The 26,527-nt window shown below is 50.5% G+C and overlaps 1 long non-coding RNA gene across 2 annotated transcripts, besides 5 other annotated features; it reads right to left on the minus strand.

Annotated features, from left to right (window-relative positions):
- Positions 1-11,472: 11,472 nt before the first annotated feature.
- On the minus strand, positions 11,473-26,146 carry SCAT1 (S-phase cancer associated transcript 1). 2 transcript variants are annotated; one of them, NR_110849.1, is made up of 5 exons: positions 26,079-26,146; positions 24,121-24,519; positions 22,007-22,124; positions 18,281-18,404; positions 11,473-11,715 (listed from the first exon to the last, which is right to left on the minus strand). It is a non-coding gene; the product is annotated as an S-phase cancer associated transcript 1 (long non-coding RNA). The 2 variants fall into 2 exon arrangements; NR_110848.1 differs by having other exon boundaries at positions 11,473-13,133; positions 24,121-24,369; positions 26,038-26,146.
- Positions 12,370-12,871: an enhancer, noted in NCBI's record as "H3K27ac hESC enhancer chr17:76614363-76614864 (GRCh37/hg19 assembly coordinates)". NCBI's record gives its function as "activates a minimal SCP1, AML or CMV promoter by ChIP-STARR-seq in naive H9 embryonic stem cells {active_cell/tissue: H9 hESC(naive)}" and the evidence as "EXISTENCE:reporter gene assay evidence [ECO:0000049][PMID:30033119]".
- Positions 12,872-13,371: an enhancer, noted in NCBI's record as "H3K27ac hESC enhancer chr17:76614865-76615364 (GRCh37/hg19 assembly coordinates)". NCBI's record gives its function as "activates a minimal SCP1, AML or CMV promoter by ChIP-STARR-seq in naive H9 embryonic stem cells {active_cell/tissue: H9 hESC(naive)}" and the evidence as "EXISTENCE:reporter gene assay evidence [ECO:0000049][PMID:30033119]".
- Positions 16,418-17,409: an enhancer, noted in NCBI's record as "H3K4me1 hESC enhancer chr17:76618411-76619402 (GRCh37/hg19 assembly coordinates)". NCBI's record gives its function as "activates a minimal SCP1, AML or CMV promoter by ChIP-STARR-seq in primed H9 embryonic stem cells {active_cell/tissue: H9 hESC(primed)}" and the evidence as "EXISTENCE:reporter gene assay evidence [ECO:0000049][PMID:30033119]".
- Positions 20,064-20,563: an enhancer, noted in NCBI's record as "H3K4me1 hESC enhancer chr17:76622057-76622556 (GRCh37/hg19 assembly coordinates)". NCBI's record gives its function as "activates a minimal SCP1, AML or CMV promoter by ChIP-STARR-seq in naive H9 embryonic stem cells {active_cell/tissue: H9 hESC(naive)}" and the evidence as "EXISTENCE:reporter gene assay evidence [ECO:0000049][PMID:30033119]".
- Positions 25,980-26,481: an enhancer, noted in NCBI's record as "H3K4me1 hESC enhancer chr17:76627973-76628474 (GRCh37/hg19 assembly coordinates)". NCBI's record gives its function as "activates a minimal SCP1, AML or CMV promoter by ChIP-STARR-seq in naive H9 embryonic stem cells {active_cell/tissue: H9 hESC(naive)}" and the evidence as "EXISTENCE:reporter gene assay evidence [ECO:0000049][PMID:30033119]".

Below are 26,527 nucleotides of genomic sequence, written 5' to 3' on the forward strand. Positions count from 1 at the left end.
CAAACCCACCAATGGGAACTCCCTGTGGGAAACTTGCCGGGTAATTCCCATGACCCCAATAAAGCCTTTGGTCCACAGATCCCTCTCTCCCCTGCCCCCACCCACTGAATGAGCTCTCTGCTGTCTCTGGACTGCCCATCAGTCCTCCTGGGCATCCAGGAGGTTTATTAGGTATTATTACTCCAGGACCTGTGAGTAATGAACCACTTCAGTGTCTTCCTGTCTTCCACTGAGCTGCCCCCCACCCATCGCACCTGACCGGCGCCCCCCAACCTAACTCTGCTCCTGGTCACGGTTCTCCTAGAAAGTGGCTCTCTTGGCCAATGGATACTCTCCAGAGAGAGATCTCAAGGCCAAGTTAGAAGAAAATATGACAGCAGGGTTTGCATGCTGGCATGCCCACTTCTTACAGTGCAAGCTCACACAGGGCAGCCTCAGTCTCCTCATCTCTGAGTGGGGCATAAGAGATGTACCTAGCTCCCAGGGTGGTTGTGACGATTCAGTGAGTTAATATTTCCAAAGCTCTGGCCAGGCGTGGTGGCTTATGCCTGGAATCCCAGCACTTTGAGAGGCCGAGGCGGGCAGATCACCTGAGGTCAGGAGTTCGAGACCAGCCTGGGCAACATGGGGAAACCCCGTCTCTACTAAAAATACGAAAATTAGCTGGGCATGGTGGTGTACGCCTGTAGTCCCAGCTACTCGGGAGGCTGAGGCACAAGAATTCCTTGAACCCCGGAGGCGAAGGTTGCAGTGGGCCAAGATCACACCACTGCACTCCAGCCTGGGTGACAGAGCGAGACCTTGTCTCAAAAAAAACAAACAAAAAAAAACCCTATATATATACGTGTATAATACGTGTATATATATATATATATATATATATATATATATATATATATATATATATACACACACACACACACACACACAAACACGCATATATATATGTGTGTGTGTATATATATATATATACATATATATAAAGCTCTTAGAACAGTCCTGGTGTACACAGTGGGTGCTGAATAAGCCTCACCTATTATGGTCACCTGCCTCCATTTTATATACTGCCAAGTAGAACAATAAACTCACATGGTCTCATGGAATCTTTTTCACCTTGCAAGCTAGAAAGTACTAATTTCACTGCAGCTTTTAGACAGTGTTGACACTCTCTTCCCAGCCTTTTGTGTGCATTCCTTAATTTTGTTCTTCTCTTTCACAGTTGAACACCCAGTCCACTGAGCTAAACCAGTGAGCACGTTATTGTTGCTAAAGAGTTGCTAATTGTGACAAGATTACTGATTTCCCAGCTTGTCTGCATTGTGTGAAGTGTATGGGACTCTGGAGCCCTCCTTCCACGCCTCCTCCTGCCGAGGTAACTGGGAAAATGAGCCCAGTGAGAAACTTCTTCCTCCTGTTAAGCTTCATGGGTGGTGGGTACCTGGCTTTCTAAACACCATTCGTCTTTTCCATTATCTTTTATCTCGTCCTCTTGTTCTCTCCTCCCGGCTCCTTTCAGAAATTCCTCCTGGGCCTGCCCAAGCTCTCCCCTGCAAATGCAGAGAGATTTCCCCTAGCCCCAGATGTTAACTGCCCTGAAGTCTTCCCTGTGTGTATCAATGGTTGGTTCAGAAATTCTCATCTTGCATGCATCTTTGTGTGTTTGTTGATGAGAAAATCTTGTTAAAATAAAAATGTGGCCGGGCGGGGTGGCTCATGTCTGTCATCCCAGCACTTTGGGAGGTCGAGATGGGTGGATCACTTGAGGTCAGGAGTTCCAGACCAGCCTGGCCAATATGGTGAAACCCTGTCTCCACTAAAAATACAAAAATTAGTCAGTTGTCATGGCAGGCACCTGTAATCCCAGCTACTCGGGAGGCTGAGGCAGGAGAATCACTTGAACCTGGGAGGCAGAGTTTGCAGTGAGCTAGATCATGTCACTGCACTCTAGCCTAGGGGACAGAGCAAGACCCTGTCTCAAAAAAAAAAAAAGTATTCATTGATAAGGACAACTGTGAATTCCTTTCAATAGATGGGTTTACTTCATTTGTTTTCATCCCTGATGGCAACACCCCCATCCAACAGGAAAAAAGAAACCAACTCATCATTGGCATCCCTCTTCTCTGCTTTAGTTTTTCCTTAGGATGCACCGCCCTCTAAAGTATTGTTTAATTTACTTATTTATTATGTTAATTTATTGTCTGTATCCCTCATTAAAAGCAAAGTTCCAGATACTTTTCAAAAGAAGACGTACGTGTGGCCAACAAGCATATGAAAAAAAGCTCAACATCACTGATCATTAGAGAGAAACGCAAATCAAAACCACAACGAGGTACCATCTCACACCAGTCAGAATGGCTGTTATTGAAAAGTCAAAAAACAACAGGTGCTGGTGAGGTTGTGGAGAAAGGGGAACACTTATACCCTGTTGGTGGGAATGTAAATGAGTTCAGTCATTATGGAAAGCCGCATGGCAATTCCTCGAAGAGCTAAAAACAGAACTACCATTCAACCTAGCAATCCCGTTACTGGGTATATATCCAAAGGAATATACATTGTTCTACCGTAAAGACACATACACGCATATGTCCATTGCAGCACTATTCACAATAGCAAAGACATGGAATCAACCACAGTGCTCATCAGTGGTAGACTGGATAAAGAACATGTGTTACATATACACTATGGAATACTATGCAGCCATAAAAAAGAATGAGATCATGTTCCTTGCAGAAACATGGGTGGAGCTGGAGGCCATTATCCTTAGCAAACTAACTCAGGAACAGAAAAGCAAACGCTGCACATTTTCACTTATAAGTGGGAGCTAAATGAGGGCACATGGACACAAAGAGGGGGACAACAGACACTGCAGCCTACTTGAAGGTGGTGGGTGGAAGGAGAGAGTGGCTTAGAAAAAGTAACTATTGGGTACTAGGTTTAGTTCCATGGGCTACAACAGCGCTCAGCATACAGTGCTCAGGAAATACTCATGGAACCCCTCAGTTAATCATCCAGGGTGCCTGGCCTGTGCTCCAGGGACAGTCCGGGAACTGACTGTTCTGGGCCTCGTTGAGTGTGGAAATTGAGAGCGAGCGGGTAGAAACGCTGACAGCCACTTCACTTTGCCATGTTGTCTAAGTGCTTCATCATTTTTCTGGTAGTTCATCTTTATCGTGGTTTACAAAAGTGTGGGTCCCACGATGGACTGGAAATTAAAACAAAATAAAAATGTGTCCTTACCAGATAGTTAGAGAAGTACCAGGCCAGCAAACAAAAAAAAAGTCGAAAGAACTGGGACACAGGAAAACTACGCTTCTAAGATTTCCAAGCCAAGAACATTGGAGAGTGCAGATGCTGTGTGTGGCCAGGCAGCGTTCAGCCACAAAGAAACCCCAGGCAGAAGGGCCAGGGGGGATGGGGGCCAAGGCCTTCTTGGAATCTGCCCCATCCTCATGCCCCTGCACGCACTTGCCTGGGGGAATGCGGACAGTCACCAAACTGTGTCCCCGGGAAGGGTGCCTGCCACACCACCCCCTGCCCTTTGTGAACGGGGCATCTCTCTACCACTGGCCAAAGCTGCTGGCTTCAGATGGAATTTTTTTCTTCTATGGGGAAACCTCAGCCAGCAGCTTCAGCTCGTGCCCAGGAGTTCCAGGCTGCTCTTCCTGATGGCCAGGCCCATGAATTCTGATGTGTCTAGCCAGCTCCTACAGCCACAGAAGCCAGTTTCCTGCAATAAATCCACATATATATATCCTATGTCTCCTGCTGGTTCTGTTTCTCTGGTTAAATCTTGACAGATACAGATTGTGTTAGTAACGTGGGCCAATTTTTGACATGGTCAGACTACCAGAAACCCATCGAAATCTCAAACTTCTGTTTATCCAAATACAGCTGCCAACAGAACTCTCACAGAGTGGCATAAGAAGCTCCATTTCCTATTTTCTGAATCCTTGGCGGTTGAGCATAGTCCTCTGTGTGTACCCAGAACATGTCTTCTGCTGGTCCTCGGCAGCCGACAGCCAAAGATAGGTCCAGAGCCTGGCGAAGTTGATGCCAGTAACAGCATCCGGGCCTGCGTGTGGGCTGGGGACCCTGCAAAGGACCAGAACCTACGTCTCGGCATCTTTGTGAAAAGGGATGCCAAGACACAAGAAAAAAGGAAAGAGCAACACGGCAAAACCCATCTCTATTAAAAATACAAAAAATTAGCCAGGCATGGTGGCGGGCACCTATAGTCCCAGCTACTTGGGAAGTTGAGGCAGGGGAACCCCTTGAACCTGGGAGGTGGAGGCTGCAGTGAGCCAAGATCGCACCATTGCACCCCAGCCTGGGCCACAGAGCGAGACTCAGGTCTGAAAAAAAAAGGAAAGGGAATTCATGGCCTTTCTCTTCCTCTTAAGACAAATGCCCTTTTCTTCACATTAACAATGAAGAGACCAACGTGGCAAGCTGGAGAGAAGACGCAACACATCCCAGCACCAGCCGGGCCATGCAGGAAAGCCTGGGACAGGACCACGGCCATCAACTCAGCTCTCAAACCTGCCTACTACAGGCTAGCTCAGTGTGCCCGGAAAGGGACCTCATCACTCTGTGCCTCGGTGTCCTTGTCTGTGAAATAAGTTGGCCGGATTATCTCCAAGCTCCTCCTCCGGTATCCTGTGGTTGAATCCATGAGACACCAAACTCTGCAGCACGCAACAGCCTTCCAGCGTGGACACCTGTGCTGTCATCATGGGAGCCTTACTCCAGTTGTGTTGTGCTCTCCTCTTGAATTGTTTGTTTTTGTTTGGGTTTATTTATTTATTTATTTATTTGAGATGGAGTTTTGCTCTTGTTGCCCAGGCTGGAGTGCAATGGTGCGACTCAGTCTTCCGAGTAGCTAGGATTACAGGCGTGCGCCACCATGCCTGGCTAATTTTCGTATTTTTGGTAGAGACAGGGTTTCACCATGTTGGCTAGACTGGTCTCGAACTCCTGACCTCAGGTGATCTACCCGCCTCGGCCTCCCAAAGTGCTGAGATTATAGGCGTGAGCCACCACATCCAGCCTCCTCTGGAATTGTTGGACAAGCTTTGAGGACCTGTGAGTCTCTAGCCCATGACTGACCTGTGCCCATCTTCTTGCTGACATCTGGCCGGGTTATGAATGCCACCTCTAGACATGAGCCGAATGAGTTTAACTCACCCAGAGCTCCCTGCTCCCTGCAAGAGTTGTCAAGTTTCCGCTTTCACCCACCTGATGCTGCCTGTCAAACTCGAGCCCCCTTCCACGGGCTTTCCCTGGGTTTGTCTAACTCACATGCAACCTCAGTACCTGGCACTTTACCTCTATCTTTGCCCGGGAAACACTGGGAAATGTTTGCCCCATCAGAAGTCTTGGGAAAAAGCTGTCGATGGCCAGTAGGGTTTCTTTGACATGGAAATCAATTGCATGCTGAGAACAGGGAAACAGCTTTTTAAAAACCAGCATGGTGCTCTTCCGGCACCCAAAGTCCACATAGGGCAACGATTCAATTATCTACGTGTGGTAGGAGGTGTCTGAGGCCATGCTCTTCACCCAGCCTTTTTTATTAACTTGAGAACCTGCTTCTGCCTCTCACACAATTTACGAAAACAACAGCCATGCCAGCGACCAAGAGTTGGGTCATTCAAGTTACACCAAGGAACCTTAAAATGGATGGAGCTGTCCATTTGCTTTGAATGTGCACAGATATTTGACATAAACCATGCAATGCCGAGGAAATCTTCAGCTTTCCAAACATAAGGAACGAGACTCCAGGGGCAGGAATAAGAGTGTGAGCATGTGCACCCTCCACGGGGAGCTGGCTGGGTCCTTCCACTGGAAGACGTTGGAAAATGATGGAAACCAAATGCCCTAGGGACCTCTTGAAAACCAAAACAAAGCTAAAATGGGATGGGAGGGCAGAACTTTCCCTTACAGACGGAGCTGGATCTTGTCACAGAGCCTGGAGACAGTTCCCAGTTTATATTTCCATGTGTGAGTCACTCTCAGGGGCAGAAAAACGCAGGTGTTGATTAAACTAGGGCTGAAAGAATGGCAAACACAGCCCACTCTGGGGCCCAAAGCATAAAAGCGGACTCTTCCAGCTGCAGAGGGTCATGCTTCTTTGCGTGAAGGGATCCAGGGGAAAAACTCAAACCAAGATCTGGAATTGTCATTTCTGCTCTGTGGCTTTACCCGGATTGGTCTATTCACTTCACACCTCTAGGAGCCTTCTCCGTGCAACTATTTCTAATCTTTGAGGAGGACTCCTCTGAGTCTCCCAAACTCCCACCACTTCACTGGGGAGGGAAGCGATGATGGGGAAAACTGGAGCAGAAACACCTGTGGCTGTTCTGTGGCAGCCCGGGTGGAGGAGGGACCTCTGGGTTTGGCAATGGTGAGTTTACCTGCGACACCGCGAACGTGGCAGGCCACGATGGCAGCTGGTGGCATCAGGATTTTCACTCTTCTTCAAGAGCAAAATCCGAGTTTTTTGGCCAGCTCTGGATCGCTCACCATGGGATTTAAAGGAAGCTGAGCAGCGAACACGGGTGACTCCTAACGTGGCTTCTCAGGCATCTGTGGTTGAGCTTTGTGTGCCAGTGCCTGCCACAAGCCAGGTGCTGGGCAGGAGCCTTCTCCGTGCGACTATTTCTAATCTTCCAACCACCCACCAAAGAGGCATGGCGATCCCCATTTAAGGAGGCGCTGGTAATCCTCATTTTAGGGGAGGCGCTGGTGATCCCCATTTATTTTTTTTTTTGAGTCGGAGACTCATGCTGTTACCCAGGCTGGAGTGCAGTGGCACGACCTTAGCTCAACCTCCCGGGTTGGTAGCTTGAACCTCCACCTCCCGGGTTCAAGCAACTCTTGTGCCTCAGCCTCCTGAGTAGCTGGGATTACAGGCGCCCACCACCACGCCCAGCAGCCTTCCTTTATATTAGGAAAAAAACTGTTATAAATGGGAAAAAATATCCCAGTGACAATAGCTACAAAGACAATAAAACGCGGGAAATAAACAATAGTGCATCCATGCTTTGGAACATTACACAATCTTGCAGATGCGTGCATTAGGCCATTATCTATTGTCCCAGAGACACACATAATTAGGATGCTGTGGTGGCTTTGAGTTTCATGTTGCTTAAGATAGTTTTTTTTTCTTTTTTGAGACAGGGTCTCACTCTGTTACCCAGGCTGGAGTGCAGTGGCATGACCACAGCTCACTGCAGCCTCGACCTCCTGGGCTCAAGTGATCCTCCCACCTCAGCCTTCCCAGTAGCTGGGACTACAGGAGCACACCACTAGGCCCAGCTAATGTTTTGTACTATTTGTGGAGACGGGGTTTTGCCATGTTGCCCAGGCTGGTCTCGAACTCCCGGACTCAAGCAATCCTCCCACCTTGGCCTCCCAAAGTGCTGGGATTACAGGCATGAGTCACCATGCCCAGCCTTAAGATAGTTTTGATGATTGTCAAGATTTTCAAGCAAGGCTAGGCCCAAAACTACGGAGAAACCCTCAATCCATCTGGTCTCCATTTGCATGTAGGACTGAGAGATCTCAGTAACCAGCACCTTTCCTCTCCTGGATCAGGCAAAGAATCGCACGTGCCAGCCACATCCTCCATATGGCTTTCTCAGGCTCTGTTCTGCAATTAGAAGATAATCACATGCAAATACCTCTTGCAGGGTGTCACGAGAAAGGAAACCGTTCCTCCTCTGGAGAACGTGCCCATCTTGCGTCACACGCAAAAAAGATGTCTTTGAGTCTCATAACCTTTAGAGAGTACATTTCACAATGTCACGACGTACCCTTGCCTGATGCGTTGATATCATCTTTTCTGTGTGTGTCAAGAATCTGTACAAAGCATGAATTATGTATTTGGTGGTTTAGGCTAAGCAGCCTCTGAAAGCCAGACCGGGTCATCGCTGGGATCTCTCCATCGTGCTCAGCAAGCTGGAGATGGAATCCCCATTGATGAAAGTCAGATAACCTCATTAGCGGGCCCCACCTAATTTCCTTTTTTTGATAGCACTTTTGAAGGTGCAGTGACTAGATTTCAGGGAGGCTTTTAATCAAATGAGAAACATGGGCTGAAAAATAACGTATCCTGGAGGAATTGTAGCCAGGTGAACAACCACAATGAGGGGCTCTTGTCAGCCATGCAGGTTGCTGGCAGTGGCTTCTGTGTGACGTGGCTGGGACTCTGATATGGTCTGGCTGTGTCCCCACCCAAATCTTGTCTTGAATTGTAGCTCCCATAATTCCCACATGTTGCGGGAGGGACCTGGTGGGAGATCACTGAATTGTGGGGGCGATTTGCCCCATACTGTTCTCATGGTAGTAAATAAGTCTCAAGAGATCTGATGATTTGACAAGGGGTTTCCCCTTTCTCTTGGCTCTCATTCTCTCTTGTCTTCCGCCATGTAAGACGTGCCCTTCACCTTCCGCCAAGATTATGGGCCCTCCCCAGCCACATGGAACTGTGAGTCCATCAAGCCTCTTTTTCTTTATAAATTACTCAGTCTCGGGTATGTCTTTATCAGCAGCATGAGAACAAACCAATACAGATTCCACATTCTGAGTCTCGTGTGGTTGAGGTTCTCGCTACTGGAGAAGGGAGGACAACGTGCCCCCTTGATATGGTTTGGATCTCTGTTCGCACCAAATCTCATGTCAAACTGTAATCCCTGGGGTTTGAGGTGGGGCCTGGTGGGAGGTATTTGGAGGTGACTGGGGCCAGAGTTCTCATGAATGGGTTAGCACCATCCCCCTGGGTGCTGTTCTCCCAATAGTGAGTGAGTTCTCGTGAGATCTGGTTGTTCAAAAGTGTGTAGCACTGGCTGGGCACAGTGGCTCACGCCTGTAATCCCAGCACTTTGGGAGGCCGAGGTGGGCAGATCACTCGAGGTCAGGAGTTCAAGACCAGCCTGGCCAACATGGCGAAACCCTGTCTCCACTAAAAATACAAAAATTAGCTGGGCATGGTGGTGGGTGCCTGTAATCCCAGCTACTCAGGAGGCTGAGGCAGAAGAATTGCTTGAACCTGGGAGGTGGAGGTTGCAATGAGCTAAGATCATGCCACTGTACTCCAGCCTGTGCAAGAGACACTGTTTCCAAAAAAAAAAAAAAAAAAAGTATGTAAAAAAGTGTGTAGCACCTCCCTCGTCTCTCTCTTTCTCCTGCTCCTGCCATGTAAGACACCTATGCCTGCTCTGCCTTCCGCCATGATTGAAAGCTCCCTGAGGCCTCCCCAGAAGCAGATACCACCATGCTTCCTATACCTGAGAGCCTGCAGAACCATGCACCAATGAAACCTCATTTCTTTTTATTTATTATTTTTTTTTGAGATGGAGTTTCGCTCTTGTCACCCAGGGTGGAGTACAATGGCTCAATCTCGGCTCACTGCAACCTCTGCCTCCAAGTTCATGTGATTCTCCTGCCTCAGCCTCCCTAGTAGCTGGGATTACAGGTGCCCACCACCATGCTCAGCTAATTTTTTAAAAAATATTTTTAGTAGAGATGGGGTTTCACCATATTGGCCAGGCTGGTCTCAAACTCCTGACGTCAAGTGATCCACCTGCCTTGGCCTCCCAAAGTGCTGGGATTACAGAAGTGAGCCACTGCACCCGGCCAGCCTCATTTCTTTATAAATCACCCAGGCTCAGGCATTTCTTTCTAGCAGTGTGGGAAGGGACTAACACACCCCTCCTAGTAGGAAGAGAAAACAGAGGCCTGTGTGTGGGCCTCCCCAGCCCCTACCCATGTCTTTCCCCTGCTGGTCCTATTGTGTATCCTCTCACCGTACTGGGCCTCGGCTGCGAGTAAACCACACGCTGTGTCCCATGAGCCCTTCCGGTCCATCACTGAGTGTGTGGCTGGCCTTGGGGAGCCCCCACCCCAAACCACCTGCTGTAGGAGGAAATCGCATACACGTCCAAAGGACCATAAGGTCTGGCTCATGTGCAAGAACCAGGAGCGCATGTGGGGAGCGGGTCTTGAGGGTGTGGGACCAGCGGTCGGGAGAGAAGGCTCAGTCGGGGAGAATTTACCAGCATGCAATCACGGTCCTGTGATCTGAGGTGGAGTGGCCTGAGGCCCTGAAACCTTCTTCCTACACTGCCTGGGTGGCTCCTGGAGGCTTTCATATTATGAAGACCTACAGTAAATTAGGAGAGGCTGGAACTGCCTTGGCAAAGCATTGAGGTAGGGGTCAGAAGGCCCCGGAAGGGGCAAAACCGGACGACTTCGCCAAGTCCAGGGAAAGGCAAGCCGGATGATTTTGCCATGTCCAGGGAAGGGGAAGCCAGACGACTTCTCCACGTCCAGAGAAGGAGAAGCCAGACGACTTCGCCAAGTGAGATTTGAGAACGCAGCCCTGACCATTGTCCCTAAGAAGGTCCAGAGGACCCCTCTGGCTGAAGCATTAGAGGGGCACTGGTGCATCTGGGGTGCTCGAGGGATACTGTCCTCCACAGCCTCCTGAGTGTCAACAGAGATGACAAGACTACAGGGTGGAGAGGGCAGGGGGTGGCCCTGCACTGCCAGTGGCTAAGGGGGCATGATTATTATAATGACAGAAAGGCCCAGTGCCCTTTGGGATGAGCATGGTGACTTAATCTGTATCCCTAAAAGGGAAATACAGAGCTGGTGAACCAAAGGCTGGTATCAGCCACCGCAATGAAAAAGCATCTTCAGTCAATTTCATAGCCCCAGAGCCCATCCGTACACGAGGATCCCAGGCCTCCTTAAGAAAGAGCCCCACAGTGGCCCTGCAAGTATATTTGATAGAGTCCCTCAATTTTTTTTTTTTTAACATAGAGACAAGGTCTCACTATGTTGCCCAGGCTGGTCTTAGACTCCTGGGTTCAAGTGATCCTCCTGCCTCAGCCTCCCAAAGTGCAGGGATTACAGGTGTGAGCCATTGCACCTGGCCGAGTCCCTTAACCTCTCCCTAAAGGAACCTACGGACATGTGTCAGAGTATACGCTGGGAAAAGGGAGGATGCAGACATTTCAGGGCTGTTGGATCCACGGTCTGAGTTGACACTGACACCAAGAGGCCTCAAATGCTGCCGATTCTTGCCAGCTAGGGGGCTCTGTGATGGGCCAGAAGTAACGGGAGGGCAGAGCGGGTCTGAGCGGCGCATGGGTTGGACTGTACTGGGAGCCCCTTCCCCTCCTTCATGTCCTCTGGGTCCAGCAACAAGCTTCGTGTCATGGTAGCTGACGGTGCTTTGCCTCCCCCACTCTGTGTCCCCGCAGTAGGACTTCTCCGAAGACACGGGGAGGGGCAGCTTGTGCAGGCACAGGCCTAGAAGTTCAAGGGCATTGATCCCAACTTGAAGACATTACAAAAACGGGTGAGAAATGTCTCGGTGTGCACACCCTAACACGTCAGCCTGAAGATGGGCTGTGAAAGGTGAATAAAACACAGCTTCCGGTGCACAGAAATCGAGTCAGCTGTTAACTTCAGGTTTTGTTTGCTTATATCTTATTTTATTTGCTATTTTAAGGTATTTCTGGAGAAGACCTAAAGGACAGGGAACTACTGTCTTGCAATCCTAAGGAGAAACTCCAGAAGCCAGAGCTGGCTTGCAGCTTAGAAGAAAACTTTCCTCCCATGGAATTGTGTCCCTTGGCAGTCCTCATAACGCCCAGGAATGACAAAAATCTCAGAATGACATCTTGCTGGAAAGGATGCAGCGAATGTGGCCTAGAAATATAAATTCACATTACAGATGATTTCAGAACCCTGGCTTAGGCCTGAAAAGGACCCATGAGGCCTGATGGGGGCAGGCCTAGGGGCTTTGTCAACAGGACAGTGTCCTAATTTTCTAGGCCATCTTTATGAAGTCTCCAGCTGTCAGTCCACATGGCCCGCTGTGTCCCTACAAAGCTATGAGAGACAACAGGACTAATCCGCCAGCCCTCTTCTTTGGTGCCATGGCAGGAAGCCACACTCACCAGCAAAGCTGACCCCAATCTGAACCTGCAGACATGCAGCTCCCGGGCACACACCCACACAAATGTCCCTGGGATCAGATCGCTGTGCAAAGACAGCATAGCCCACACCATCTTGTTGGCAAATGAGAATGTAGATGAGAGGGCCACACAACCTGGCTGACTGTGTTGGATGATATCGGAGACGGTGGGCAAAGCCAGCCTGCTGGGCTGCCCCATCTGCCTTGCCCAGGGCAGGAAGAGGTTTTTCAGACTTTGCCCATGAGTATGTTACCAGCAGCAAATCTGCACGGGTCAGCAGCAACTCCATCCTTGCCTCCTCAGTGGAAAGAATCTGGAGCAGAAGTAGGTTTAAGGTAGAGGGAGAGATTGAGGCACGTTTTAGAACAGGAGTGAGGGTTTATGAAAAAGTTTTAGAGCAGGAGTGAAAGGAAGTTAAAGTATACTTGGAAGAGGGCTGAGTGCGCCACGTGAGAGATCCAAGTGACCGCTCAGCCCTGGGCGTGGGGTTTATCCGTTGGCACGGCTCTGGAGTTTTCTCTTCTCCTCCCTCGGTTCTTCCCTTGGGGCGGGCTGTTGCTCAACAGCCCCATGCAGCAGTGTTGGTCAGCACTCAGGAGGGTAATTGCATGTGTAGTGAGTTGACTGAGGTTGTGCGCATGCTCTCTAGGGGCGGTTTTCCTTTACTGGTTGAATGCCCCCAGAGGAAGTTCATACATCCGCCATTTTGCCTCTTAGTGCGCACGCTTGAGCCCACTCGCCCAACTCGAGAGCTTATCGGGAAGCTGCTGATCACCAGTTTCAGGTGTTTTTTTATTTATTGGGAGACCATCTTCCCCTGGTGTGAGCTGCAACCAATGATCATTTCAGAGAGACAGTTTAACAACTGCCTGACCATCACCTGATGGTCACCTGACATTCCTGGGCTGGTGGGCGCCACTCATGTCTGCCTAACTTCCTCCTCTAACAAGCAGAGCCATGGAATGAAGACAGGCAGCTCAGGCAGGGTCGGCCAGCCTGCACCCAGGGCTTCCAAGGCATCTTCTATTCCAGGGAGGCAGCGTTCTCCCCAACCTCCGCCAAGCCAGCATCCAGGGATGTCACCTCAATAAAGGAGGCCTCCCAGCCTGCACTAGGCACCTCCAGCTCCTTTCTGTAGGCCCCAGGAGCCTGTGACATAGAGCAAAATGTCACAGTCATTGAAGGCTCTGTGTGCAAGTAACAAGTCTCCCATTCAGAGAACTGCTCCCTCATCAAGCTCTCCTGGCAGCCCCCACCAGCATGCTCTCTTCCCGTTTAACCCCAGCAGCCCCGCAACTCATGCTTCCAGTCTGGTCCTAGCTCATCTCCAGAGCAGCGATCAATATCCATAAAGAGCTCCCTACTTGGAGTGCTGGGCCAGCTCTTTGCCCAGGGAGGGAGTGGAAGTCTAGGTTGATCATAAAGAAGTCAACCCACCCTGAAGTCACCATAAACCTAACAGGGGCCTTCCTTAAGGTATCCGTGACTATTTTACATATGCCTTGAGTTTTATAGTAGAAAACAATCAGGTGGGCTAAAGAGTGTGTGCAGGCTCATGTGCATCCAGCTCTGGTTGGTTGGAACTATCATGCCCACCCCAGTGAATCCACTGGACCACTTCGTTGCCTGACAGCCAGTGACGTATTTGGTCACGTGCAGCCACGTTGCCTTTAGGTGGCAGTGCCACTGGAGAGCTCCTCACATCTCCCTGTCTCCCCCAGCAGTGCAAGGGTGTGCAGGGATTCAAGTATTTAATTATTAAATTAAATCAAAGCCTTGAGGACTGTGTGTTTTATTGGGGGAAAAGGCTCAAACCAAACTTCAATAATATTGTTAAAGTTTTCAGCAGGATTTTGTCAGAAAAGTGAAGTATGAGAAATATGGTAACGTTTAGCCTTGTGGGAATAAAATCACTTGAGAAATACGCCTGTGCATCAAAGGGCATTATCAAGACAGTGAAAAGGCTACCCACAGAGTTGGAGAAAACGTTTGCAAATCATCTCTCTGATAAGGATCTAGCATCTGGAATATAAAGGAATTCTTACAAGTCAATAGCAAAGACGAACAACCCAATTTTAAAATGATCGAAGGACCTAATAGATATTTCTCCAAAGGAGATCTATAAATGGCCAATAAGCACATGAAAAGATGTTCAACATCACCAGTCATTAAGAAAATGCAAATCAGAACAACAATGAGATACCACTTTACAACCTCTAGGGTAACTACAATTTAAAAAAAGAAAACTGAAAATAACAAGAGTTGGTGAGGATGTGGAGAAATTAGGACGCTCATACATTGCTGGTGGGAATGAAAAATGGTGCAGCTGCTATGAAAAACAGTTTGGTTGTTCCTTAAAAAGTTAAACATAGAATTACCGTATGACCCAGCAATTCCGCTCCTAGGTATACACCCAAAAGAACTGAAAACTGGTACTCAAAAACTGGTACACATATACTCATAGCATCATTATTTATAGTCACTAAAAGATGGAAGCAACCCAGGTGTCCATCAACAGACGGATGGATAAACAAAGTGTGGTCTATTCATACACATGAACATTATTCATTCTTAAAACATCCCGGCCAGGCACAGTGGCTCACGCCTGTAATCTCAGCACTTTGGGAGGCAGAGGCGGGTGGATCACCTGAGGTCAGGAGTTTGAGACCAGTCTGGCCAACATGGTGAAATCCCATCTCTACTAAAAATATAAAAAAATTAGCCAGGCGTGGTGGCGGACGCCTGTAATCCCCGCTACTCAGGAGGCTGAGGCAGGAGAATCGCTTGAACCTGGGAGGCGGAGGTTGCAGTGAGCCGAGATTGTACCATTGCACTCCAGCCTGGGTGATGGAGCAAGACTCCATCTCAAAAACAAAAAAGCAAAAAAAGTCCTGAAGCAGTGATACACGTGACAACATAGATGAACCTTGAAAATGTTATGCTTAGTGCGAGAAACTGGGCACAAAAGGCCACATATTATACAATTCCATGTACATGAAACACCCAGAATAGGTGATCCATGGACAGAAAGCAGATGAGCGGCAGCCAGGGACTGTGGGGAGGCAGAATGAGGAGAGACTGTTCATGGGGTCAGGGTTTCCTTTTGTTTCGCAGGCTCAGGGTTTCCTTCTGTTTTTGTTTTTAGAGACAGGGTCTCGCTCTGTTGCCCAGGCTGGAGTGCAGTGGCACGATCACGGCTCACTGCAACCTCGACCTCCTGGGCTCAAGTGATCCTCCCACCTCAGCCTCCCGAGCAGCTGGGACCTGACTGGCTGGGACCACAGGCACGCACCACCATGCCCAGCTTGGGGTTTCCTCTTGGGGTGAGGGAAATGTGTTACAAGTAGGTAGAGATGGTGGCTGGAAAACCTTGTGTAAGTACTAATTGCTGCTGAATTCTTCATTTTGAAATGGTTAGTTTTATGTTATGTGAATTTCAGCTCAGGAAAAAAAAATTCCAAAAGCAAAAAAGAAAATAAACGTAAGTCGGCGATTCAGTTTCCACCCACTCAACCCACAGATGTATTGTCAGGAAAGCATTGCCTCAAAAGCCAGAGGCTGCCGGCACACACTCAGGACCAGTCCAGAGGCACCAAGGGCCACTGTGGCGAGCCGGGGTGCCCAGAGGCTGGGGAACGGTGGAGGGCCGTGTCCCAGGAGTCGGCAGAGCAGAAAGGGAGGCTGAGGGCGATTTGGGCACCGCTGCTGCAGCCCCTGGTACTGATGGAGAAAGGATCTGGAAAGTGGGGCAGTGCGGGGGGCTCCTCTTACCGGGTTTCCCACTGCAGACTGAGCCCAGGAGACCTCAATCCCAGGGGAAAAGGACCAGAATTCTCTTCTGAGGGAACAGAACACACAGATTCAGCAGCAGCAGGAGTGACAGGGCCCTGCCGGGAGTGAGAGGCCCAGCTCCTCCCGCCTGCGCTGCCCCGGCTGATGGCGCTGGATTCCTCGAGCCACACCTGTCAAAGCAGGGCTGAACCTAACGGCTGCCCAGGTCTAGTCCCTTCTCAAACATGCCACTTCCGTGTCCTGAAGCACAGGTCTGCGGCGGACCTCCCCAGGCCAGGATGCCCCGTTGTTGGAGTCACTGAGTTCTACTGATGTGGCTCTCCTGCTGCCGTGGCTGCAGACGGAGGGATGCCACAGCCCCCCCTGCAGTGACCAGGCACAGGAGAACATGGCCCCAGAGCCACCACGGGAGTGTGTCTTGTCTAAACTGACTCAGAAACTCTGCTCCCTGAGCGGCTCAGTGACACAAACACCCTCCTCTCCCTGCATTTCACAGGCAGTGAGGCACGCGGCCTCTATCTACTACATCTGCCTGCTGGATGTCTCTTGTGTTCCGTGGTCCGTGCCACCCCCAGGCTGCACCTGCCTAGTGCAGTTCCGAAGCTCCTCCTGGGTCTGCTTCTGGCCATCCTCTGACAAGCACAGACAGGTTTCAATGGAACGCAAACACCCACCTGCCCCCGACATCTGCAGAGGTGCGCCTGTGCCATGGTGACGTCCGAGGTATCAGAACGAGACCCCATAAAAATAAATATGTTACCCAGAGACAGCAACACTTACAAAAAAGGGTCAGTGTGCATCACTGATGACCATTTAACCCGAAGCAGATCCAGGTGGAATAGGCCCCCATGCCCAGCTGTCAGGGCCGCTGCCAGACCAGGCAAGTACCCAAGAAAGAAGGGAGGGGCTCAAGAAAGGTGCAATGCGTGGGATTCTGCTGCAAAGAGGCGCCGGGAGGAGCTGCAGGGAGGCCCCCACAGGAAGGGAGAGCACGGGAGGTGGGTCTCGGCACCCGTCGGGGCATGGCCCCTTCTTCCCCTCACTGGGGTGCCACATGCCCGCCCGGGGTCTGCAGGAAGCGAGGGGTACTGTCCTCCGATTAGATGGTCAGCCTGGGCCTTGCCGTGTGGCTTTCCTATGATGCCCATGAAGGCAGTCCCAGGACCACACTGCGGACCCTGAGGAGGTACCAAAAAGGGAGGGAAATGCCCCCCATGCCCACACATCGGGGCCACTGCCCTACACGGGTTCCACAATTCTCAGTACCTTTCTCCACCACAGGCCTTTGCTGGCCAAGCCTTGATGGAGAGGGGCTCCACGTCAGTGTGGAACCTGACGATGCCCAGCCTCGCTGTCTGAAAGGAGGGGACACTCTCTCTGTACCTTTGTCTTGCTGGGTCAGTGAGGCAGGGAAGATGGCAGGCGGCCAAGAGCCAGCACCACCCTGGCAGGGGGGACAGGCCCTGTCCTAGGACCCAGAGACAGCCACATCGACGCTTGCGCCTTCGTTTCCTTACTGGATGATCTCCAAGCCTCTGACACCCTTGGGATTCTCTCAACGAGATATCTCTTCCCTCCCAGAGCTCACACACTTTGTACGCCTTCTTCCTCCCAGGGTCCCATTCTGGTAGTGAACAAGCATCGTTTGCGGTATCCCTGGACTCACACCTCCTGAGGACACCTGGATTTTTTTAAAGGCTACAACATAGGTGGACCTTAAAAACATTATGCTAAATGTCAATGCATTTGAGGACACGGCCACGCATAGGAGTGTCATCTTTGCACAAAAGCCCAAGGTCATGATCCACCCTTCATAGGCCTAACTCAAGTGCTGTCTTCCTAGTGTCAACCATGGATGTCACATACTTCCATGCTGTGCCCGATGGGCTCAGTGACATAAACATCCTCCTCTCCCTGCATTTCACAGGCGGTGAGGCACGCGGCCTCTATCTGCTGCATCTGACTCCTGGATGCCTCTTGTGTTCTGTGGTCCGTGCCACCCCCAGGCTGCACCTGCCCCGTGCAGTTCCGAAGCTCCTCCTGGGTCTGCTTCTGGCCATCCTCTGACAAGCACAGACAGGTTTCAATGGAATGCAAATACCCACCTGCCCCCGACATCTGCAGAGGCGCATCTAGGCCTGAGAGGCTGGGCCAGGCTGCTTCAGGCTCCACGCGTTATCCTGGGGGCTTCCAAATGTTTCCACTGTGCCTCGCCTTTTGGTATGAGATTTACATGGCTGATAAGCCCAGGGATTACCCAGCGGCATTAGGGGCTGGGGACTTGAGGAGACAGGTTGCAGGTGATTCCAGCTGAAGCCACCCCAGCCTGGCCCAAATTTTGATCCAGGACACACCAGAATGGCACATCTCAGACGAGTTCTGCCACCCAACAACCAAACTCCCAGGCTCAGGCTGGGCACTGTCCTCTCTTGGTAAATCCCCATCCCTGTCACATACAGGGATGAGTCTCCATCTCTGAACTCCACTCCGTATCCAACACTTACCTCCGTCTTTGTCCAGGAAATGCTGGGAAATTCCTGCTCCTTCAAAAGGTACAGAAAAAACCTGATTTCCAAGTAGGTGTTTGTCTCATGGAAGTCAATAGCATGTCCTGCACTGGGGATGGCTCTGAAAAAAAAAAAAAAAAAAAAAAGCAAGTTTCCATGTGCCTGTAACCCAAGGCATGGGCATCCTGGAATCTCTCATGGTGTCATAAACACAATATCCAAGTATGCACCCAAGAGAAATGAAAACATATGTCCACGCAGAGTTCTACACTGCAACGTTCAGCGTTATTCACAGTAGCCAAAAGGTGGGAACCACCCAAATGCCCATCAACAGATGCACAGATAAACAAAATGTGGCCATTACTCAGCCTTTAAACGAGTGAAGTTCTTATACATGTTACAATTTGCATAAACCTGAAAAACATTATTTGCATAAGCCTTGAAAACATTATGTAAGTGAAAGAAGTCAGACACAAAAAGCCACATAGTACGTGATTCCTTTTAGAGGCTGTACCCAGAATAGGCAAATCTGTAGAGCCGGAAAGCGGATTAGCCGTTAGCAGGGGATAGGAGAGGGGAGGAAGCGGGAGTGGTTACAGTCATCCCTTGCTGTCCTTGAGGGATGGGTTCCAAGTCCCCTAAGGATGCCAAAGGCCACAGTTGCTCAAGTCCCTGATGTATGCATAGTATTTTCTTATAACCTATGCACATCCTCCCACACACTTTAAATCACGTCGAGGTTACTTACCATGCCTAATACAGTGTAAGTGCTATGTAAATAGTTGTTACACAGTATTTTTTTAACTTTTTCATCACCTCATAAAAACACCCTGTTCCAGCTGGGCGTGGTGGCTCATGCCTGTAATCCCGGCACTTTGGGAGGCTGAGGTGGGCGGATCACTTGAGATCAGGAGTTCAAGACCAGCCTGGCCAACATGGCCAGGTACAGTTATTTTTTTCCTAATATTTTCAATCCACAGTTGGCTGAATCCATGGATGTAGAACCCGTGGACACCAAGGGCCGGCTGTACTTAATGGGAACAGGGTGTTTTTATGTTTTTATTATTTTTTGAGATGGAGTCTCGCTCTGTCACCCAGGCTAGAGTAGAGCGGCTCGATCTCAGCTCACTGTAACCTCTGCCTCCCGGGTTCCAGCAATTCTCCTGCCTCAGCCTTCTGAGTAGCTGGGATTACAGTTGCATGCCACCACGCCCGCCTAGTTTTTGTATTTGTAGTAGAGACGGGGTTTCACCATGTTGGCCAGGCTGGTCTTGAACTCCTGATTTCAAGTGATCTGCCCACCTTGGCCTCCCAAAGTGCTGGGATTACAGGCATGAGCCACCACGCCCAGCTGGAACAGAGTGTTTTTATGAGGTGATGAAAAAGTTTTGAAACTAGAAAAGAGCTGGTGGCTGTACGACATTGTGAATACACCAAATGACATGGAATCGTGTACTTAACAATGGTTCATTTATGTGAATTTCCTCTCAGTTAAGAAAACCGACGCTACCCGAGGATCTTCTCCCACCTTCCACTGCCCGCCAGCCAAGACTTCAAGTTCACTGTCCTCCTTCCAAAACCCTACAGGGCTCCTGCACTCTGCCATGCACTGAGCTGAGCTTAGGACGGGGACGGGTACCCGATGGGGTATCTTGGAGGAAAACATCATCATCGGGTCTGCAAACAGAGGCAGGTAGGTGTGCATTGTGCCGGATGCTGCGGAGGACATGAACAGTGGCCATGCAGAGAAGCAGGGGGCTCCTTCGCTGGAGTTGGGGGCTGGACTTTCCAGGAGCCCCCTGGGGGAACAGCAGCCAGGGGCCTGGGCAGAGGGAAATGCAGGCATGAGCTCTGAGGTTTCAGGACAGAAAAGCCCAAGGCAGGGCTGCTCCCTGCATGAGTCAACCATCCCTGCAGTAGGCTATGCCCCCAAAAAATCATGTCCGTACACTTAAAATGTTAAGATGGCAGATTTTATGCTACATATATTTTACCACAATTTTAAGAAATTCATGATATACTCAAACCCATTGAATTGTACACTTTAAATGGGTGAATTACGTGGTATGTAAATTATGTCAATAAAGTTATTTATTTTTATTTTTATTTTTTGAGACAGTCTTGCTCTGTCGCCCAGGCTGGAGTGCAGTGGCATGAACTTGGCTCACTGCAAGCTCCACCTCCCAGGTTCACGCCATTCTCCTGCCTTAGCCTCCCCAGTAGCTGGGACTACAGGCGCCCGCCACCATGTCTGGCTAATTTTTTTGTATTTTTAGTAGAGATGGGGTTTCACCATGTTAGCCGGGATGGTCTTGATGATCTCCTGACCTCATAATCCACCTGCCTCGGCCTCCCAAAGTGCTGGGATTACAGGCATGAGCCACCGCACCAGGCCTAAAGCCATTTTTTTTTTAAAAGCTATGTCTAAGCCCTAACCCCAGCCCCTGTGAATGTGAATCCTTGGAAAAACGATTCACCAAGTCCTAACTCCTAGTACCTGTGAATCCTTGGAAAAAGGACCTTTGCCGATGTAATTAAGTTAAGGATTTTGAGATGAGATTATATGAGATTAGGGCATGCCCCATATCCAGTGACTGGTGTCCTTATCAGAGAAAGGCAGAGGGAGACTTGAGACACAGGCCCAGAGGAGAAGTTCATGTGAGATGGAGCAGAGACTGGAGTGACGCCGCCACATACCAAGGAACACCTGGGGCCACCGGAAGCTGGAAGAGGCAGGTAGGACCCTCGCTGGGAGCCTTCGGAGAGAGAGTAGCCCTACTGACACCTGGATCCTGGGCTTCTGACCTCCAGGACGCGAGAGAATCAGCTGCTGTTGCTTTCAGCTGCCCAATGCATGAACATTTGTTCCAGGAGCCCCAGGAAGCCGACCCCATCAGAACGCCAAGGACCGGGGTGGAGAGTCCCACCGTGTCTGAGCAGAGAGTCTGAGTGCTCATAGAATGGGAAGACGCTGCCCTGTATCAAGCCAGGGACCTGATGGGGGCTGGAGAGCGGGCTTGGACATGTGCCTGCTGCCATCGGAGCCGTCTGGGGCCACCACCCAGAGGACAATGTTAAGGATGAAAATTCAGGGCCTCCAATTACACAGAAATCAACATAGCCATGAAATGATAAGGACACCGCAGCTTCCTCTTTTAAGAAGACACAAGGCAGCCGGGCGCAGTGGCTCACGCCTGTAATCCCAGCACTTTGGGAGGCTGAGGCGGGCAGATCACCTGAAGTCAGGAGTTCGAGACCAGCCTGGCTAACATGGAGAAACCCCCTAAAAATGCAAAACTATCTGGGTGTGGTGGCACGTGCCTGTAACCCCAGCTATTCAGGAGGCCGAGGCAGGAGATTCACTCGAACCCGGGAGGTGGAGGTTGTGGTGAGCGGAGATCATGCCATTACACTCCAGCCTGGGCGACAAGAGCGAAACTCTATCTCAAAAAAAAAAAAAAAAAAAAAAAGACGACACAAGGCAGTTCCAGGGGCAGAGATTTGGAATATTTTGAATAAAGGGGGAAAAGGTAAGAAGATACTACACAATGAGGGCTTTAGAAGAATAGTAAGAATTTTTGAGGCTGCGTGCAATGGCTCACACCTGTAATCCCAGCACTTTGGGAGGTCGAGGTGGTGGATTATTCGAGCTTGGGCAACATAGCAAGACCTCATCTCTACTAAAGGTTTTTTAAAAAATTAGCCGGGTATGGTAGCACATACCTGTAGTCCCAGCTACTGAGGAGGCTGAGGTGGGAGGATCACCTAAGCCTGTGAGTTCGAGGCTGCAGTGAGCCAAGATCATGCCACTGAACTCCAGCCTGGGCAACAGAACGAGAGCCTGTCTCAAAAAAAAAAAAAAAAAAAAAAAAAAAAAAAGTAAGAATTTTTGGAATTCAAATGTGAATTTTTAATCTTTTTAATTTTACGAATCATAGAGAAAAGAATCTGAATGAAGATCTGGAAATACAATTTCCAGTCTCTGGCTTTGCTTGGCCTGATCATTTCCAAACAAACCTTAAGACTTGCTGTTTTGCCCAAATTCTTCCCTAGTCTAATCGTCAGGCAGATGTGACCGTGGGGAACTGGCTGTCCCCGCATCAGCAGCAGGCAGCGGCATTACCTGAGGTATTTCCTTCCTGGCAGTTGATCATAGAAGTTCATGGTTCCATCTGTGCTAAAGAATTCATCCCCAGATCCGAAAACCAAGAGCTCTGGTTTGGTCTGATAATGTGTCATATGGTCTTCAGAAGAAAGCAGAACAATCGGTCATTCCAAAGGTCATTTGGAAGAACCAAGGTCATTCAGCTTCTAGTTGTGAGTGGAGGCTGCAGAGGGACCCTAGGAGGCGTGGGACCCTAGAGGAACCCCAGGGATGAGTGGGTGTGGAAGGGGCGCCCTGGTCAGTCAATAGTCAACACAAGAGCACTATTCTAGTCACAAGTGGGCCCAGGAGGCGTTGAGACTGGTGGCCGGGGGCGCCTGCTCTCCTGCCCACCAACCAGGTGACCTGTTCAAGCCACTGAACCTGCCTGGGCCTTAGTCCCACAGCGCTGGGGTGGAGGCAACAGGCGTCGCTGACTCTGGGTTATTGGGGTGGCGGGGTTAGATCAACTGCCAACCTGGCGAACGCCCTGGGACCACGCATGGCTGGTAAGGAACTCTAGAGGGGATTTTTCATCCTTATTATTATGACCGGCGCCCCTCCATGCTGAGTGATGTGCTGAGACTGTGCACGCCACCCTCTGCCCCCTTCATTTCAAAAATGCAGAACGGAGGCTGCAGGGGGCCACCTGCCCAGTGTGCACAGCTCATGAATGACCGGATGAGGTGACACCACCATCTGTCACCCCAGGGCCAGGCCTCTGTCCTCCCCAGAAACTTGTCCTCGCCCACTCCACCTGCAAGTCCTCTAGGGGCTGAGCACTACACAGGAACACGTGCAGATTCCAGCACCCAGAGGTCCTTCACACCTAGCCACAGGGCCTCTGGCAGCCTCGGCCATCCTCTCTGCGTGCCTGAGGCGGCTGCGCTGAGCAGTGGGGGACCCAGGAAAGGTCACGGCTCCCCCAGCACATCTGACACACCTCCCGCCGGGCCAGCTGCTGGCTTCAGCAAGCAGACGTCCCCTTCCTATGGAAAAGCCCATGAAAGCTGATTTGAAATATCTGAGCAGCTGTTTGAAGGACGTGGATCAGCCCTGTTCAGCGGCCTGAGCGGAGAGCGGGGCCAGAGGTACAAGCCTGGGACGGCCCGCAGGCTCTGGGAGACACAAGTCTTCTCAGACTTAGGCCTCATGGGACCCCAGGGGCCTGGTCAGCTGGGTTCCCCAAGGGCTCACCCACAGAGAGCCTCCGTTCTCAGTGTCGCTGTGGATGACCAACACTAAAACCCCCAAGCCCAGACCGCACCTCGTTCCCGCTCACCTCGGAATCCCTGGAGAAATCAGACATCAGCCCTTTAAAAGTTCCCCAGTGACTTTAACGTGCAACCCAGGTGGGGCGTCACTAGGCCAGGTGTCACCCATGTGTGCCCCCAACTGGAGGCCCTCAGTGGGCTTGTTCGAGGGCCTCCAGGCTGGATGTTCGCCCCAGATGGCCCAGATGGCCTATTTTGTGCATTGTCTGGCTGTGTGGAAACAGAACAGCACCATAGTGACATCTAGCCCGGATGTGGGCATGGCCCACCGACCACTGACCGCCTACGTCGTTCTTCCACCCCGAGCGCCCGCATATCCCGTTCCGTTCACCTCCCACTGGGGTCAACACTCCCTTCACAGCCTCCATCTTCCCCGGGGCAGTCCCATTGCTTTGGAGACTTCAAAAAATTGTACTCACAAAAGGGGTCGACATGTTCTATCTTCTCCTGGAAGCGGGGTGTGTCCTTGTTCCCAGTGACATTCAGCGTGTGCAGGGCCCGTACGCATGCACTCTGGCCTCCAAAGCACCTGTCGTTGTGGAGATTCCACAGCAGGCAGGGTGGAGATGGTGAGCCGCAGACATCACACCTGCCCCAGGTCAGGCCGAGGCTGCTCATCAGGAGCCCCGAGACCTCGAATGCAACGTCTTCAGATCCCAATTCCCTCCCTGCATGGAGCAGAACAGTGTCTCTCAAAAACTCACGCCCACGAGAAGTCTCAGAATGTGGCTTTTAGTAGAAATAGGGTCTCTGCAGATGTCTTTCATTAAGCTGAGGCCATATTGAGTGAGGGTGGATCCCAATCCAGTAACTGGGGTCTGTATAAGGAGAGAGAACAGAGGCACATGAACGGAAGGTCAAGCGACAACGGGTGCAGGGATGGCAGCCAGGCAGCCACAAGCCAAAGGACGCCCAGGATGGCCAGCAGCCCTGGAAGCCGGGAAAGACAAGGGAGGCTCTTCCCCTACAGCCTGCAGAGGGAGCAGGTCATTATCTGTTAATATCTTGATGTTGCAGTTTGGCCTCCAGAACTGTGAGAAATGTGATGTTGTTTGATGCCACCCAGTTTGTGTTCCTCTATTACAGCAGCCCCGGAGACTAGTAAGTGGGTCCCTGGCAGAGGAAGGGGACAGAGCGTCGAATTCTCCTCCCCGCAGGGAGCCACCTGGGCTCCGAGAAACCCTTGCACCGGCCAGAGGCCATGACACTAATGCTGGAATGTTCTCTGTGAGCGATGAAGCTTTCAACCAGACTCCGCTAGAGAAAAATACCCGACAGAACTGTTTACCCGATTAAATGAAATTAAATTCAGTTTTCTTGTTGCCAAGCAGAAATGAGGCCCTGTCATAGGAATGTCTGAGCAGTTATAAAAATAGGAGTTCATGTTTGCACATAGCTGGTTGAAAACAGAAAATTCACACCTGCTCTAAGAGATAAACAATGCACAGCTGAGCGTTGAACTCACACAAACGAGCCACCATGCACTGCAGAACAGAAACAGAAGAAGACTTAAGAAAAAAGCCAAGATAAATGATCACAGCCAGGCACGGTGGCTCATGCCTGTAATCCCAGCACTTTGGGAGGTTGAAGCAGGCAGATCATTTGAGGTCAGGAGTTCAAGACCAGCCTGACCAACATGGTGAAATCCCATCTCTACAAACAAACAAAGAAACAAACAAAGAAACAAACAAAAAATTAGCTGGGTGTGGTGGCAGGTGCCTGTAATCTCAGCTACTCAGGAGGCTGAGGCAGGAGAATCACTTGAACCTGGGAGGCAGAGGTTGCAGTGAGTGGAGATCACACCACTGGACTCCAGCCTGGGTGACAGAGTGAGACTCCATCTCAAAAAAAAAAAAAAAAAAGATCCTTCCTCCCCAATTCCAACACCCCCCAGGAAAACTCAGTCTACAATTGAATATAAAGCAAAGAACTGGCTGTTTGAAAAGTTCATCAAAACGTGCAAATGTCTGGCAAGATAAATAAAGAAAAACCACAAACATAAACCACGCCAGCCTGGGCAAAAGAGTGAGAAGAGAAGAGGGGAGAAGAGGGGAGAAGAGGGGAGGGGAGAAGAGGAGAGAAGAGGGGAGGGGAGGGGAGAAGAGGAGAGAAGAGGGGAGGGGAGGGGAGAAGAGGGGAAGGGAGAAGAGAGGGGAGGGGAGGGGAGAACGGGAGGGGAGGGGAGGGGAGAAGAGGGGAGAAGAGGGGAGGGGAGGAAAGAAAGAGAGAGAAAAGGAGTGAGGGAGGGAGGGAAGGAAGGAAGGAAACCAAAGGCCAGAGGAGAGCCTGGAGGGGGTCCTGCTCACAGCCTCAGAAGGGATCAACCCTGCAGACACCTGGATATCAGACTTTGGCCTCCAGAACTGTAAGATGGTACCTTTCTGTTGTTAAAGCCAGGGGTCCTCAACCCCTGGGGCCACAGACAGTGCCCTGTCTGGGCCACACAACAGGAAGTGAGCAAACGAAGCTTCATCTGTATTTGCAGCCACTCCTCATCACTCATGTTACCGCAGAACTCCGCCTCCTGTCAGATCAGTGGTGGCATTTGATTCTCAGAGGAGCACGAACGGTATTGTAAACTGCGCATGCGAGGGATCTAGGTTGTGGGCTTTTTTTTTTTTTTTTTTTTTTTTTTTTTGAGACACAGTCTCGCTCTGTCGCCCAGGCTGGAGTGCAGTGGCGCAATCTCGGCTCACTGCAAGCCCCGCCTCCCGGGTTCACGCCATTCTCCTGCCTCAGCCTCCTGAGTAGCTGGGACTACAGGTGCCCACCACCATGCCTGGCTAATTTTTTTGTATTTTTAGTAGAGACAGGGTTTCACCGTGT

This window comes from Homo sapiens, chromosome 17 (genome assembly GCF_000001405.40).
Source record: "Homo sapiens chromosome 17, GRCh38.p14 Primary Assembly".
Lineage (NCBI taxonomy): Eukaryota > Metazoa > Chordata > Mammalia > Primates > Hominidae > Homo > Homo sapiens.